Here is a 17,311-nt window from a genome sequence, read left to right on the forward strand (position 1 = left end):
GAGATTGAGTGCTACACAGAGGAAGGGGACACATTTTCAGAAAGAACAAATTCACATGCCCTACCCGAGAAGCCATGGGGTCAACTATGGAGCTTTTGAAATTGCTCAATGGATACACGATTCTATTTTGAAAGATTATAAACTTGAAGCCACAAAGCAAACTACTGATACTGTATCTAAACAGCCACCATTTCCCTGCCCATTTTATAATGTTCTTTCTTGGTCTTCAAATGTCCAGACAAAATGAAGAATAAAATGCACCATACGAAACTTTTTCACTATAGGTTTCCAGGTAAACGGCTCTTCTACAAAACACTTCTACATCTTCATCTATATATCTGCATACTAAAAAATAAAGCTGGAAAAAGATATTAATGCCCTAGGAATAAAAGCTAATGCCTACATGCTTCTGTAATAAATAGGAGGTTAAAGAGAACAAGTTAAGTCTTCCAAAAGGTACCAAAAGTACTTCCAAAAGTATACCAAAAAGGTGTAATGAAACTTCCAAGAGAGGTCTTTTGAGTGCCATATTAAAATAGGTCTATTTGAGAATTTATGAAAAAAACAAGTATCATACCTGACACTTTCAACCTTGGGGTTAAAGAGGGTGAGAAGGCTGGGCATGGTGGCTCACGCCTGTAATCCCAGCACTTTGGGAGGCCGAGGCAGGTGGATCACGTGGTCAGGAGATCGAAACCATCCTGGTTAACACGGTGAAACCCCGTCTCTACTAAAAAAAAATACAAAAAATTAGCCGGGCATGGTGGCGGGCACCTGTAGTCCCAGCTACTCAGGAGGCTGAGGCAGAAGAATGGGGTGAACCCAGGAGGTGGAGCTTGCAGTGAGCCAAGATCGCGCCACTGCACTCCAGCCTGGGGGACAGAGAGAGACTCCGTCTCACAAAAAAAAAAAAAAAAAAAAAAAAGAGGGTTGAGAAGACTAACTACCTTGAAAATACTCCTATGGTGTTGATATAAATAATCACTATTTTATGTGAATGGTATCAAATTTTAGAAGATCACAACTAAGACAGTAGAAAGAGAAATATTAAATCGCAAATAATATTATTCTAAAAAGGATCATCCACTACTTCTAGTTAACTTTCTTGCAAGTAATCACAATATAGGATTACTGGGTAAATCCTTAAATGTTATGAAGAATTTGGTGGTCATCATTTCTCCCTAAGACTAATCACAGCAATTTTTAAAAAAAGATACCCCATCACTTGAGGATCTGGCTTAATCAGAGATCAGTACAATACTCTAGCTTTTTGTAGCTGCTTATTTCTTAAGGTGTAGGAAACAATGTCTTCATCCTTACCGTTTCACCAAAATAATTTATCCGACATTGGAAAATCATTTAAAAACTAAAAAAGAAAAACAATTTTTTTTCAAGGGCCTGAGAAAGGAAAAAGCGAAGTCAAAAGAATTACAGTTGACCATTGAATAATGCAGGAGATAGGGGCGCCAACCCCCCACACAGTAGAAAATCCATATATAACTTCTGATTCCCCAAAAGCTTAGCAGTCTATTGACTGATGCCTTAAATAGTTGATTAACATACATTTTGCATGTTACTGTATTTTTGTGATAAAGTAAGTTAGACAAAATATTATTAAGAAAATTATAAGGAAGAGGCCAGGCCAGGTGGCTCACGCCTGTAATCCCAGCACTTTGGGAGGCTGAGGTGGCTGGATCACAAGGTCAGGAGATCGAGACCATCCTGGCTAACACGGTGAAACCCCTTCTCTACTAAAAATACAAAAAATTAGCCAGGCGTGGTGGCGGGCGCCTGTGATCCCAGCTACTCGGGAGGCTGAGGCAGGAGAATGGCATGAACCTGGGAGGCAGAGCTTGCAGTGAGCTGAGATCGTGCCACTGCACTCCAACCTGGGCGACAGAGCGAGACTCCGTCTCAAAAAAAAAAGAAAAAGAAAATTATAAGGAAGAGAAACTACATTTACTATTCACTAAGTGGAAGTGAATCACCATAAAGGTGGTCACCTTCATCATCTTCACACTGAGTAGCCTGAAGAGGACAAGGAACAGGAGAAGGAGAAGGAAGGGTTGGTCTTGCAGTCGCAGGAGTCACAGAGGCAGATGAAAATCCTTGTATAAATGGACCCTTGCAACCGTAATCCAATACCAAATGTTTTTTATGTGGTCCTCATTAAATTTATTTTTTGCTTAAAAAGAAACCCAGGTCTGAGCGCAGTGGCTCACGCCTGTAATCCTAGCATTCTGGGCGTCCAAGGCAGGGGGATCATTTGAGGTCAGGAGTTCAAGACCAGCCTGTCCAACATGGCAAAACCCCATCTCTACTAAAAATACAAAAATTAACCGGGCGTGGTGGTGAATGCCTGTAATCCCAGCTACCAGGGAGGCTGAGTGAGGCAGGAGAATTGCTTGAACCCAAGGGGGCAGAGGTTGCAGTGAGCCGAGATCACACCACTGCAAGAAAAAAAAAAAGAAACCCAGGCCAGGCGCGGTGGGTCACGCCTGCAATCCCAGCACTTTGGAAGCCCTAGGCGGGAGGACCACCTGTGGTCAAGAGTTTGAGACCAGCCTGGCCAACGCAGTAAAACCCCATCTCTACTAAAAATACAAAAATTAGCTGGGCATGGTGGTGCGCACCTGTAATCCCAGCAACTCAGGAGGCTGAGGTAGGAGAACAGCCTGAACCTGGGAGGCGGAAGTTGCAGTGAGTCAAGATCGTACCACTGCACTCCAGCCTGGGCGACAGAGGGAGACTCCATCTCAAAAAAAAAAAAAAAAAGAGTCAGTGAAGTCAAAAAATCTGAACACTATCAACCGACTTGCTCTAATTGACATTTTCAGAACACTAGACCCAAGAACTGCAGAGTATACATTCATTACAAGTGCAAAGAGTATTCATCAAAACAGACCATATGCATAATTTTCAAATGACTGATATCTTAAAATTAGCTCTAAAAATATTACGCAAAGTGGTATTGCTAAAAAGCCATTAAAGCAATACCAAAAAACACTCAAAAACCCAATATCTGATAGAAAAGGAACACAAGAGAAACAAAACCAGAAAGGTCAAATGGAAAACTTTAGAGCTTCCTGGGTTCAAATATATTCTCTGATCATAGTGCAATTAAAGTAGAAATCAATAACAATAACTAGAAAATCCCAATTTATGGAAATTACTAAATAATGCTCTTAACCCATAGTCAAAGAAAAAAATCACAAAGGAAATTAAAATATGTTTTCATACTGAGTGACAATGACAGCATTATCAAACCACCTGAAAAGCAGCTTTAGCTCAGAGGTAAACCTACAGTTTCAAATAACATCTTAAAAAACGAATAAATATATTTTTAAAAATACCTTGCTTTGTAAATCCAACCTATTTGGCTCAAGAGTTTCAAATAACAAGCGGCAAGATTTTAGATAGCAAGATACCGACCTGTAAACTTACTGCAATTTATCTGTTTCCTAAATTAAGATAGCAGTTTAGATAATATTTAAGAGAAATGACATTTTGGAAAAACTACAGATTTTATAAAATACTTAAATCTTTTGTTAGTAATATTATACTCCCAGGTAGTGTGTAAGAAAAATGTCTCGATTATTCAAAATTAAATTACTTTATATAGTATTAAAAATTTAATAGAGTTTATATTCCGATAACCTCATGAGGAACTGCCCCCATTAGTTATGAAAAAAAAATAAGGTTGTCTGTTATACCTGTTATTAAACCTTTAACAAATAGAATGAATTTTTAAAAGTGCATTCTAGGTGTAATATACACAAGTGGTTACATACATGGTTACATATATAAGTAACCATTTGTTAAGCACCTACTACGTATCGGCTCATTATTAAGCTCGGTTCATGTATTTCCAATTCCCACAATTACCCTGGTGTACAGATCAGGAACCTCCGAGGCTCACAAGTGGCAGCCAGATTAACCCAGGAAGCTCTAAAGCCTTTGCTTTGGGGAGAACTGCCAACGTCTGGTGATTTGTTGGGGCGTTTTCTGGTTGTCACAAGCAGCTAGGGGAACTGGCATTTAGTGCTCGAGGCCAGGGCAGCGCTGCTCATTGGATATGTATTCTCCACCATGCGCCCCCCAAATGCCGACTGCACTCTGATGAGAGAGGGAGAGACTCCAGGCATCATCCCATCGGGTTTCCTCTTCCAGAGACTCATTTTCAGCCCTTAGGGGAAGACAGCGGGGAGGAGCCCGTTTTCGGTCCCAGTGCAGAGACCCGGCCGGTCCCGCGGGGCGCAGAGGCGCAGGAATGCAGAGCCGGGACGGGGTTCACACATCCCCCCGCACCCACGGTCCACTCCCAGCCATGGCTGCCCCGGCCCCGCACTCGCCACGTCCCCCGCGCGCTCCCAGACGCATGGGCAAGGGAGCCCGCTGGCCCCTCCGTAGCTCCGGGGTGCCCAGCTGAGTCAGGTGCGGACGCAGATAGCGCAAGGCCTGACCCCGAGCGGCCGGAGGCCGGGACCGCCCCGCAAGCGCGCTCACCTCGGCCCGCGGCGCCGGCTCCGGGCGCACTTCCGGGAGCTGGGTGGCTGCGCGCGCCTCAGGCGGCAGGCGAACGACGTGCGGCACCGGGCGGAGCTAGGGGGCGGGGGCGGAGCTGATACCGAAGCTCCTATTGGCCGTCGGGGACGCCCCGCCTCTCTCTGGCGTTGCAGCCCAGGAGCCTCCACCGACATGGCAGCGAGGTTCCCGAGCCAACGCCATCCTCCGTTCCTTCCGTCACTCACTCACTAATCACTGTTCCTGAGTTCCTTCACTTCTCACCCGTCATTTATTGCGCACCTATTCTGTGCCAGGCACTCGGCCAAGCACTGCGAGGCCTTCAAAGATCATTTCTTTGTCTCTCCCAAACCCTTCCGCCCAGTCCCACCCGCAGAGCTGCAACGCTCTGCCATTATCCCTGATTCTTAACCGCCGCCTTTCTCCTTTCCGTTCTTGCCTCACTGGGCCTCCCTGAGACACTTGATTTGCCCCAACCTTCTTCCTCTGTCTTGGTTCTCCCACTCTCATCAGCTCTGCATCCCCTGGGTCCTCTCCCACTTCTCCCCATTCCGTTGGGGCTAGTCCAATGTGGTGCCATCCTCTTTCCACCTGCGTCTCTCTCTCTTCTCTCTCTCTCTCTCAACAAATGTCATCCCTGACTCTTCCCTTCTCCTTCCCTTTCCCACACGCCAACAATGGCTGAATCCTCTGATTTGACCTCATTGTCTCTCAGACACCTCACCCTCTCTCCCTTCTCACTATCCCTCCCTCGGCTCAGTTCCACACCATTTGTAATGGTCAAGACCTTCTTACCCTTTCCCCAGCGTCCAGTGTTGCCGGTTTCCAGGCCATCCTGTGCTGGGCCACGACATCAACTTGTGATACTAAGTTGCATTAATGGAAGTATCATGTCAAAGTTTGGGTGTTCCACCTTGGGCAACTGGCAAAGAGGAGGGTATTCAAAAAAAGCTGCCATGTTCCCCAATAACCTATGGAAATAAAATAAATAAAAAATAAAAATTTAAAGAAGAGCTGTCATTATCATAACATGTCCTGTACCTGTCATTATCATAACATGTCCTGTACCTGTCATTATCATAACATGTCCTGTACCTGTCATTATCATAACATGTCCTGTACCTGTCATTATCATAACATGTCCTGTACCTGTCATTATCATAACATGTCCTGTACCTGTCCCATGTTTACAAGAATTAAAGATCCTCCTCTGGAGAAATAAAGCTTGATGCGGGGATGGGATTACATCTTCATGTACCTGAAAAGTGACCAGCGGAAAAGGGATTCGACATGTTCTCTTAAGTCCCAGGGTCTGAACAAGATCCTATGTGTGAAACTACTGTTTCAGCCTGACATAGGTGGAAGTTTCTAGTCTTTTTTTTTTTTTTTTTTTTTTTTTGTATTTTTGGTGGAGACGGGGTTTCACCATGTTGGCCAGGCTGGTCTCGAACTCGTGACCTCAAGTGATCCACCCACCTTGGCCTCCCAAAGTGCTGGGATTACAGGCATGAGCCATGGCACCTAGCTGGACGTTTCTAACATTCATGTGATTGATGGCGCTGCTTTGAGTTCCTGAGGACAGCATGGCTAACAATTTACCAGGCACATTTAGAGGGACACCTTCATTGGGTATTGCTTCCAACATCAATGTGCTCTGCTTCTAAGAAAGTCAAGAGATAAGGTGGTTTAGAGGGGAAGATTATAGGAGTTTTATCTTCAATGTGTTCGCTTTTAGCTGATCAACACCCAAGGAAGATAACAGTAATTCAAAACCATTAATTGGGTTCTGACTCCTTTGTGAATCTGATGGAAGGTAAAATTTTTCCCAAGAAAAATGCACATACACATCTACATACAACACTTTGCACTCAAATCCAGGGAGCTAACACAGCCTTGAAACCCATCCTTGGAACCCACAAACCTCAGTTTGAGAACTCTAATCCTGGTAGATGGTTCCTGATATGAAAATGACACTTTGAAGTTTAATAATTTCTTTATAAACTGGCACCTTAGGAAAAGGCATAAACACTTATTTCGAAACAGGCTGAACAATCAAAATATTTTTTAAAATAGGGAGATATCTACCTCAGCTTAGGAAATAATGAAAAGGTGTCATCTATTTCTATTATTCACTTACTCATTCAATAAATATTTACCAGATGATGTGCCCAGCACTCTTCCAATAGCTATATATGCAAGAATGAACTAAACACACAAAGTCCCAGCCCTCCCAAGACTTATATTTTGTAGGGTGAGCTGGACAATAAATAAGTGCACAAGTGGTAATTATAGGTGTTGTGAAGAAAATTACATTGGGGTAAGGAGGAGAGGTACTGTTAGAGATGGAGTGCAAGTTATATAGGATGGTCAGGGAAGGACTAACAGATAAAACAGGCTTGAATCCAGACCGGAAGTTAATTAAGACGCAAGCCTTGCGTGTATCTGTGGGAACCTCCAGGCAGAGGAAATTGCAAAAGTTTTTGTTGTTGTTGTTGTTTGAGACAGAATCTTGCTCTGTTGCCCAATGTAGTGCCAGAATCTCAGCTCACTGCAACCTCCGACTCCAGGTTTAAGTGATTCTCCTGCCTCAGCCTCCTGAGTAGCTGGGATTACACATGCTTGCCACCGTGCCCAGCTACTTTTTGTATTTTTAGCAGAGATGAAGTTTCATCATGTTGGCCAGGCTGGTCTCAAATTCCTGACCTCAGGTGATCCACCCACCTCAGTCTCCCAAAGTGCTGGAATTACAGGTGCGAGCCACCAGGCCCACCCATAAACGTTTAGGCCATGAAACAATGAGTGACAATAAAGAGAAGCACTATAAAGACCAAGCCCTGGACCACGCCAACATATAGGGTCAGGGTAATAAGAAAAATCTATTAAAGGAGAAAGAAACTGAGGAGCCACTGAGGTAGCAGGAAAACAGAGAGTGGTATCCGGGAAGCCAACTGCATAAAGTGTTCAAAGAAAGAAGGAATTGCTGGGTGTGGTGGTTCACGCCTGTAATCCTAGCACTTTGGGAGGCCGACATGGGCAGATCACCTGAGGTCTGCACTTCGAGACCAGCCTAACCAACATGGAGAAAACCTGTCTCTACTAAAAATACAAAATTAGCTGGGCGTGGAGGTGCACGCCTGTAATATACAAACTGGCACCTTAAGAAAAGGTATAAACCCATAATCGCTTGAGCCCAGGAGGCAGAGGTTGCAGTGAGCCTAGATCACACCATTGCACTCTAGCCTGGGCAACAAGAGCGAAACTCTGTCAGAAAGAAAGAAAGGAAGAAAGAAAGAATCATCAACTAATCAAATGCCATGATCAAATGTAAGATGAGGATTAAGAATTGACTGAGCAACAGGAGTATAAAATCACTGGTGACCTTGACCTTATAAGAGTGGTTGGGAGTAGAGAAATCCTGAATGGAATAAGTTCAATAAGGAACGAGAAGAGAAGAATTAGAGCAGCAAATATAGACAAGTCATTCAAGAAGTTTTGCTATAAAAAGAAATAGCAAAATGAGACAAATTAGGAGATCTTACAGCATGCTTACACACTGATTAGAATGATCCAGTAGGGAGGAAAAATTTGTATGGAAGGGGAGAAAAGTGACAATTACTGAAAAATGTTCTTGAGTAGAGATTGATTTTTGAATAACAAGGCTTCTGGGTACTCACATAATCTAGGCCACATGGAACACTCACAGAAAACAATCTCCACTAAAGAGGAGCTTAAAGTCAAAAGTTACAAGCCACACCAAAAACAAATCCTCGTACAGAGAAAACGGGGAATAGAGAGGTGTTGATCAAAGGGTACAAAAAGTTCCAGTTAAACAAGAGGAGTAAGTTTTAGCAATCTATTGCACAGTGTGGTAACCGTAGTTAATAATAATGCATACCTCGGGCCGGGCGCGGTGGCTTACACCTGTAATCCCAACACTTTGGGAGGCTGAGGCGGGCGGATCACAAGGTCAGGAGATCAAGACCATCCTGGCTAACATGGTGAAACCCCATCTCTACTAAAAATACAAAATATTAGCCAGGCGTGGTGGCAGGTGCCTGTAGTCCCAGCAACTCTAGAGGCTGAGGTAGGAGAATGGCATGAACCCAGGAGGCGGAGCTTGCAGTGAACCGAGATTGCGCCACTGCACTCCAGCCTGGGGGACACAGAGAGACTCCGTCTCAAAACAAACAAACAAACAAACAAACAAACAAAGTATATTTCAAAATCACTAAAAGAGTAGATCTTAAATGTTCTCACCATAAAAAATAAGTAGGTGAGGTGATGAATGTATTAACTTGATTTAAACTTTTACAATGTATACCTATGTCAAAACGTCACATTATACCCCATAAATATATAATTATTATTCATGAATTAAAACTAAAAATAAATTTTTAAAAATCTATTATAAATGAAAATCACTAGTTACTAAAAAAATGAAAGCACATGCACTCCAAAATTCAGAGATAATAGAGCAATCTGAAAGATATTTTAAAATAAAAATTCTGAGTTGTTCGAAGAGGTTTAAAAAAAAGTAAAAGCAATAGAGCAAAAGAACCTTGTGGGAAAAAAAGAAGAAAGAAAGAAAGGATGAAAGGTGGGAGGGAGAAAACAAAATAAAACTGCAGGATCAAGTCTATTTCTTACAAACTAAAAGATATTAACTTTTTGGCTGGGCCCAGTGGTTCACGCCTGTTAATCCCAGCACTGTGGGAGGCCAAGGTGGGTGGATCATGAGGTCAAGAGATTGAGACCATCCTGGCCAACATAGTGAAACCCCATCTCTACCGAAAACACAAAAATTACCTGGGCGTGGTGGTGTGCGCCTGTAGTCCCAGCTACTCAGGAGGCTGAGGCAGGAGAATAGCTTGAACCCGGGAGGCAGAGGTTGTAGTGAGCTGAGATCGTGTCATTGCATTCCAGCCTGGCAACAGCAAGCCTCCGTCTCAAAAAAATATATAAAATAAAAAAATAAAAAAGATATTAACTTTTTTAATTAGGGAAAAAAATAGTCTAACATTGATGAGAGTCAGACATGGCAAATATCTTTGTTCCCATTGTAGAGATAAGAAAATCGAGATCCAGAGTGTGTAAGAGCGTAACTGAAAGCTGCAGACATTGTTACTGAGGCTGAATTTAAACTCTGCTTTTTCTGACTGCAGATCCCATACTCTGCCCTCTGTCTGCTGCATTTGTCCCAGGATAAAGTAGGGCTAACAGGACAAGCTGTTCAAAGAAATTGTATAAGGTTTGGGCAAACTATCATGGGAGATACTGTGAGAACTTGAAATGAATATATTGATGAAGTTAAATTACATGAGATTGTTGTGGGCCAGATCAGTTATTTCAACAAAAATTCCCTGGAACTGAGGAGCAGAAAGATTCGGATTGACTCAAGGTGAAAGGAACCTGGGCATCAATGGAGGATATCAGTGTAAGCTGTGTGGAAATGGCTTACCACACGGACAAGGAAGGGAGACCAGAACAGAAACCACTCCCGACACCCTCCCTCTGCCATCAAGATGTAGTTTGTATCCTGTTGACTTCAATAGAGCAAAGAGTGATTTAACTCATGGCAGAAGGAAACTGAATTGTCTTTTAAGGACTATTGAGAGAACAGAGAATTAAACAAGATGGTAACTGCTTTTCTCTAGTTAGGAGAAATACTAACATACATCACGTTTTATGTGGGATGTCCTAGAGGAGATCTTTAAGGTGTTCAAGAGGCCAGGCGTGGTGGCTCACGCCTGTAATCCCAGCACTTTGGAATCACAAGGTCAGGTGTTCGAGACCAGCCTGGCCAACATAGTGAAACCCCATCTGTACCAAAAATACAAAAAATAAGCCAGGCATGGTGGCAGGCGCCTGTAATCTCAGCTACTCAGGAGGCTGAGGCAGGAGAATCACTTGAACCTGGGAAGGCAGAGGTTGCAGTGAGCCGAGATAGTGCTACTGCACTCCAGCCCGGGTGACAGTGTGAGACTCTGTCTCAAAAAAAAAAAAAAAAAAGATGTTCAAGAAGGTTCAGGTGGGGCTAGGAAATGACTTCCTATAGTGCCTACAAGTGACACACAGGGCCAGAAGCCTGGATTAGCCCTAAAGTGCATACCTTAAAAAAGTATATATGGTGGATAAATCCTGATGCATCTCTCACCAAATGAAATTTTTCCCTGAGGCCGTAAAATGTCTTTAGACAAGGTATTCTCAATCTGAGACTTCAGGATTTCAATGACTAACTCCCCAGTATGCAAGTGTTTGTAGGTATGGGTATTTTTCTCAAATTTAAAAAGTCATTCCATGCTTAGGCAGACCCCTTTGAGCTTTTGAATCCATGGGCCTGGAGACACGACAAAGAAGTTAAGCTTCACTGGTATTGAATACAACGGACTGGCCAGCTCCTTAGTTTGCACATATGTTGAACAGGCTTGAGTCAGGATATAGAAGGTGCCATAAGGGAACGTGAGGAGGCCCACACCATGGAGCAGTTAAAAGTGAGGGCCTGGGCCGGGTGCAGTGACTCACGCCTGTAATCCTAGCACTTTGGGAGGCTGAGGCGGGCGGATCACAAGGTCAGGAGTTTGAGACCAGCCTGACCAACATGGTGAAATCCCGTCTCTACTAAAAATACAAAAATTAGCCGGGTGCAGTGGCACACGCCTGTAATCCCAGCTACTCGGGAGGCTGAGGCAGGAGAATCGCTTGAACCCGGGAGATGGACGTTGCAGTGAGCCAAGACTGCGCCACTGCACTCCAGCCTGGGTGACAGAGCGAGACTCTGTGTCTCAAAAAAAAAAAAAGTGAGGTCCTTACATTTTCACTTATTCAACATATTGAGACATACTGAAGTTAGTATGTGCAGGAATCAGTGGATTTATGGATTATATTACCTAGTTTTAACTAAACTAACCCTAGCAAAATGTTTCTTAACATTTAACTAACCCTAGTTTAAAGTTTCTTAACAAAATAATCTCAGTTTGAAGATAACAGTAATAATGCAGGCACATGTAAACAGCAATAAAATAGCATAGTTACACTTCTAACTTGAGTCCTTTTGCAGATACATTGGAAGGTAATGATAATGCCAATGAATCAGATCCGACCAAAGCCAAGCAAAATAATTTCAAATATTAAGAAATCTACTAGAAATGTGCGTTTATGGCCGGGCACGGTGGCTGAAGCCTGTAATCCCAGCACTTTGGGAGGCCGAGGCAGCAGATCACCTGAGGTTGGGAGTTCGAAGCCAGCCTGGCCAACATAGAGAAACCATGTCTCTACTAAAAATACAAAAATTAGCTGGGTGTGGTGGCGCATGCCTATAATCCCAGCTACTTGGGAGGCTGAGGCAGGAGAATAGCTTGAACCCAGGAGACAGAGGTTGCAGTGAGCCAAGATCATGCCATTGCACTCCAGCCTGGGCAACAGGAGTGAAACTCCATCTCAAAAAAAAAAAAAAAAAAAGAAAAGAAATGTGCATTTATATCTCTATCACTATACTGAATGGCACCTTAACAAGATGTATATTTATGTGTATATTTACACTGAGTTTGTAAATTAGATTTTAAATGTTTAAATATATATTTATACACACACTAAGTTTAAATACGTGTGTATATATTTGTACCTTTATATAAGTATATATAAATATATATGCATGTATGTGTGATGTATATATATTTATGCATGTTATGGACTCAGAAGTTATATATATACAGATTATATATACAGATAATACATATACACAGATACTAATATATGCATATATATTATATATATAGAACATGAAGGAAATTCAACAAAGTTTAAAGTCATATTCTATCAAGTACTTTATGAAACTTCATTAAATCAAATGGAAACTGGTGGCCTCTTTTGAGGTTCTCATACATGAAAATCAATACACAAAATATTCCGTATAAAAAGTTTTGTGCTTTTCATTTTAAGCCCATCGGTAAAAATTATGAAAATGTAATGTCTCTTCCAATTAGTTTGCAAGAGCTACTGACTCACATCAGTGACTATGGAAATTAGTAGCCACATTTCATCAAAATTTTTTGCTTAATTACCAGATGGCATTGAAAAACAAATATCATTCTTAGTATCTGCTGCCAATGATGTACTTTATCCATTTGGAGGTTTGGGGAGGTTTCTTTTTTCACTTTTGACAACCATTATAACTAAGTGTCAAAAATAAACTGAATTTAGAACCCGACTTTAAAACTCCTGTATCACAGAGTATTAAAGATTTGCTCAAATAATGAGGTGTATTATATTTCTGGTGAGAACTTTATTCAATAAATAAGATACATATTTTAAAATATTATTTTTCCATTTTTACCATAGACTTTTTAACTTTCAATTTTGAATATGTTTTATAATGTACAACATGTAGGCAAAATAATACCTGTATATATTATTTATGAATAAATACATATACAAACAGTGGCTACATAGTCTCAAAATACTTTTACTAGAAAAGAATGATTGATCAAAAAAGTGTAGATCTCCCTGTTCTAGATCTGGGAGCTTCTTAAACTGGGCTGCAGATCAGACTCACATGGAGGGCATGTTAATTCCACATTATTTTGACTTCTTTCCTGAATCAGATTATCTGAGAGGTAGAGCCTGGAAGTATGATTTTTTAACAACTTCCAAAGTGATGCTTTTGGCACTGATCTGTGAGTGGCATTCAAATCCATGTTCATAAATAATTGTCTATTAATTCAAACTTCAGGACACAAACAGATGTTAGTTGCCAAAACTTATGTGGGCAAGAAGGATAATAATACAGGGAGTAATACAATTAACTGGCAATCAGGAGGCCTTTGGAAGAAGTTAAAACAGAACTAGGTTTCTGGGCTGGTTTTTATCCAGGAACTCCTAACATAAATATCCCCAATATAATAATATATTACAGCCATCTTTATGCATCTCAATTCTCCCATTAGTAAAATGAGAGATAAAAATGCCACCTAATGCTTAGGACTGTTAAGAGAATTAAATGAGACAATATATGTAAAATACCTAGAACAGTGCCTTGGCACACAGCAAAATCTAGCTGTTATTGAGATATCGTAATTTGTATGTATCACGTGTTTTAGGATAGGTGATTCCTAGAAAGAATAGTAATAAAAAATTATTTGTACTGAGCATAAATTATTACCAGGGCATGGTGGTGCACACCTGTGGACCCTGCTACTTGGGAGGCTGAGGTGGGAGGGTCACTTAAGCCTTGGAGGTTGAGGTTACAGTGAGCCATGATCTCACCACCACACTCCAACCTAGGTGCCGAAGCTCAAAAAAAAGAACTGAGCAAAAATATTACCATACTGTTTTTTTTGCCACAGTATTTCAACAGTATCCAGATATCCCAGAAGAAAGAAAAAAGCTGTAATGATCAGAAACATGATAAAAGTCTCAACTAAATGAATTTAATTATGTAAATTGTAAGACATTCTGTAATACTGTAATAAATATCATATTTTTACCTAAAAATTAAAACCCAAAGGAATTCTGTGACTGTGGCCTCATAGAGATAGCTAACTACCATTAATGTAGTTTTGTGTGTTAGGCCAATGTTTACTGTTTTATTTTATTTTGTTTTGTTTTGTTTCTGTCTTTTTAGAGTCCTGCATGTGCCTCTGAGCTTAATCTCTGTTCTGGTAAGATGTCAAGATTCTGGCCTCCTCTACCAAGAAGGAGGTCAGGGCTTCAGTCACAGAGCTTCACCACCAAATGCTGAGACATCATCTCCCAGTGAAGACTCTATGTTGATCTCCCTTTTGAGCTTCAGTTCCTGCCAGAAAAAGAGCTGCAGCCTTCAGATGCAGATTTGGGAAGCTTCTGAAGTCTTTAGGCTTCTTTATCTCATTAGCCAGGGATCCTTTAAAACTTAGGGAGTTCTACACAGGTGACAATCTTAGAGCGATTGTGGAAGAGGCCCCATGTCCCTTTAAACCTTCCACCACCCAGAATTCTTCTTCGGTCCTCCTAAATGTCTCACTTTGACCCCTTGTTAGCTGAATTCTGATTTTTGTACGGTCACTTGATGCTGCCCGTGGCCTCCTTCACATTCAGGTGCCTGACTCCTTGCTGGACTGATGGCCCTGCTGACTTTGGGCAGTCAGACTTTGCCCTTGCTGGGTCTGTGACATCTATCTCACCTTGAAAGCCAGGACTCCTGAAAATCCCATCAGCACTGAGCAGTGGGAAGCCCCATCTGTCCCTGCTACCTGCTGCTGGGGATGGCTAGACGCCTGCCCACGTTGAGATTTTCTCTGCATTTGGTTTTTCAGACTGAACCTTTCTCCTTCTAACAGAAGCTTCCAGGAGCATGTGGTGGCTCCTGAAGGTCTCACAGATCAATTTTAAAAAGCAAGCTTTTTCTTCCCCTGGAGAAACAGCAAGATTGGTGACACGTCTGTCACTGCTAATTAGCACAAAGGGTCTGAACACTGGGGAACACAGAGAGAGAAGATGATTGGAATTAACCAGACACCAGGGTTGAAAAAAAATCCATAATGTGGTGGTGCTCAGAGAACGGAAAGAAAATAAAGTTAATCAGCAGCAGTGGTCTGCTGTAGAGTCTTGAGGAGGGCCACTGCAGAGTGCCTCGGGTTGCCCGTGGAGATACGAAGAAGCAGCAGCATGTAGCCAAGGCACCAAACAGAAACCCCATCTTGGAAGAGGCTGGTTACCCGGAATTAAGCAAGGAATGCATTCATTTAAGCTTACAGGGTTCTATCCAAGATCAGTTCTCTTCTCTGAGATTGATGTGGACCCTTCCAACCAGAAGTTGGAAACTGGCAGCATGTATTTTCTTTGGCAAGCACAGTTTTAAAAATTTACTTGAACTGGAATGCCTTTTAGTGGTGCATGCAATTTGCAGTGAGTCATAAGTCTGACCATCCCATTATTACTACTATTATTATTATTATTCAGAGATGGGGGTCTAGCTACGTTGCCCAGGCTAGGCTTGAATTCTTGGGCTCAAGGGATCCTCACGCCTCAGCCTGTCAAGTAGCTAGGACTACAGGCTCAAGCCACCATGCCCAGCTTTGACCATCCCTTTAGATCATGTTCCTTTAACATACTTACAGTACCATCTGGACCCTGAAGGTATTTGAGCAAGTTTGCGCTCAAATATTCTCCAGAAGGCAGAGGAGTCAAGGTTAATGATGCTCCCCTCAGAGTCTGAGCTGTAGAGCCTGCTGGGGATGTCTGAAGACTTTGCTGGTCAGAGGGCCTAGAAGCTGACTACTGAAGATTGGGCAGGGCACTGCCCTTGCCAAATCCCTTATCCCACAGTTCACTTGATACTTACTTAATCAGTCTGTGGCCTCCACCAGATGGTAGGCCACTAGGAACTGTTGTTCCCCACAAGATCCTTATTATTCAGGGAACTCCCAAAAGAGAAATAGGAAGGAATTTGGTCAAGGTCAACAGATAAGAATTTAGTCTAGGTCTACTGTAACTATATCCCAAAAACCAAAATTTAGATACCATGGTCCAAAATTCGGAGCATAGCATTTACAATTGTGACACCCTGGCAAATTCCTGACTTACGGGCACAGGCTATACAGATATCAGCCAGTGTTCACTGGAGGAAATGAAGGGAAGAAAGGAACTCAAATCTCAAGCCCTGTCTAGGAGAAGGAGGCAAGTCTTCAGGGTTATACTCACTTATAAACTGGAATCTGGCCTTTTTCCCAGTGAAGAATCCACTGAATTATCTTAGCTTTCCTTCACATACCTGAAAACAGATATATTCGAGGAGACATGGGTTGGTGTAGACAATTTTTTTTTTTTGCCATCCTTTTATCCCTACATGGCTGCTTCTAGAACTGCCTGCTCCACTCAGGGTTCCAGGAGGACAGCCTTGGGTTCAAGGCAGAGACGTTCTTTTATTCCAAATTGTATCATTTGGACCTCTAGAAAACAGGGTCCTATGGTCCTCCATGATCAATTTCCACCCATCTCTGTGCCATACATTCCCGAGCTTTTTTTTTTTTTTTCTTTTTCTTTTTTCGAGACAGAGTCTTGCTCTGTCACCCAGGCTGGAGCGCAGTGGCATGATCTTGGCTCATTGCAACCTCCGCCTCCCAGATTCAAGCAATTCTCCTGCCTCAGCCTCTCAAGTAGCTGGGATTACAGGCGCCCGTCACCATGCTCGGCTAATTTTTGTATTCTTGGTAGAGACAAGGTTTCACCACGTTGGCCAGGCTGGTGTCGAACCCCTGACCTTAAGTGATCCACCCGCCTCAGCCTCCCAAAGTGCTGGAATTACAGGCGTGAGCCACCGCGCCTGGCCATTCCTGAGCTTTTAAATCATCCCTCCTTGCTCCTGCCTGCGTGAGACGTAAAAGAAACAACAAATACCCTAACTTTGCTTCTTGAAAAACCACTTAAAATACACCAAATGATCTATTAACATATATTCCTAGAATTCCAACATACAGATTTGTGAGATGGTAGAAAAAAGTGCCTAAAATATGGCTTATCTATGTAATATTAGCAGATGGTAGTTTAGAAAAGACTACAGGAACATCACCTTTTCCTTGACTGCACATGTGGCTTGGATATAACAGACCAAAACAGGGGTGAAAGCTTTATTGTGGTGCCTGTCGAGAATAGATTAGAATAGACAGTAATGGAGAGGACAGTTTCACAAGACTTTATTCTCAGGCTTAATTAGAACCAATAAAAACTTATAAGTAAAAAAAAAAAGTACTATCAATGAATTTCACTGTATAAATATAGTATGAAATGTTTACTAAATGAACAGGATTTTTCA

The 17,311-nt window shown here is 42.1% G+C and overlaps 1 protein-coding gene across 11 annotated transcripts in view, besides 5 other annotated features; it reads right to left on the reverse strand.

Annotated features, from left to right (window-relative positions):
- ZNF18 (zinc finger protein 18) overlaps positions 1–17,311 on the reverse strand; it is a 44,089-nt gene that overhangs the window by 15,486 nt on the left and 11,292 nt on the right. For 2 of the 11 annotated variants that reach the window (NM_001303282.2, NM_001303281.2), the window contains exon 1: positions 4,507–4,551. The gene's annotated coding sequence lies outside the window, so the exon portion shown is untranslated. Of the gene's footprint in view, positions 1–577; positions 2,603–2,633; positions 2,756–3,885; positions 4,187–4,348; positions 4,449–4,506; positions 4,552–5,319; positions 5,496–9,330; positions 9,470–16,200; positions 16,271–17,068; positions 17,134–17,311 lie in introns of those variants that run through there. The other 9 variants (XM_047436648.1, XM_047436647.1, XM_024450909.2 and 6 more) reach the window with 8 other exon arrangements.
- Positions 4,250–4,699: a silencer, noted in NCBI's record as "silent region_8204". NCBI's record gives its function as "represses an Ori minimal core promoter by ATAC-STARR-seq in GM12878 lymphoblastoid cells {active_cell/tissue: GM12878}" and the evidence as "EXISTENCE:reporter gene assay evidence [ECO:0000049][PMID:35858748]".
- Positions 4,250–5,615: a biological region, named in NCBI's record as "NANOG-H3K27ac-H3K4me1 hESC enhancer GRCh37_chr17:11900873-11901856".
- Positions 4,632–5,615: an enhancer, noted in NCBI's record as "NANOG-H3K27ac-H3K4me1 hESC enhancer chr17:11900873-11901856 (GRCh37/hg19 assembly coordinates)". NCBI's record gives its function as "activates a minimal SCP1, AML or CMV promoter by ChIP-STARR-seq in naive H9 embryonic stem cells {active_cell/tissue: H9 hESC(naive)}" and the evidence as "EXISTENCE:reporter gene assay evidence [ECO:0000049][PMID:30033119]".
- Positions 4,730–4,969: an enhancer, noted in NCBI's record as "active region_11734". NCBI's record gives its function as "activates an Ori minimal core promoter by ATAC-STARR-seq in GM12878 lymphoblastoid cells {active_cell/tissue: GM12878}" and the evidence as "EXISTENCE:reporter gene assay evidence [ECO:0000049][PMID:35858748]".
- Positions 5,040–5,119: an enhancer, noted in NCBI's record as "active region_11735". NCBI's record gives its function as "activates an Ori minimal core promoter by ATAC-STARR-seq in GM12878 lymphoblastoid cells {active_cell/tissue: GM12878}" and the evidence as "EXISTENCE:reporter gene assay evidence [ECO:0000049][PMID:35858748]".

This window comes from Homo sapiens, chromosome 17 (assembly GCF_000001405.40).
Source record: "Homo sapiens chromosome 17, GRCh38.p14 Primary Assembly".
NCBI lineage: Eukaryota > Metazoa > Chordata > Mammalia > Primates > Hominidae > Homo > Homo sapiens.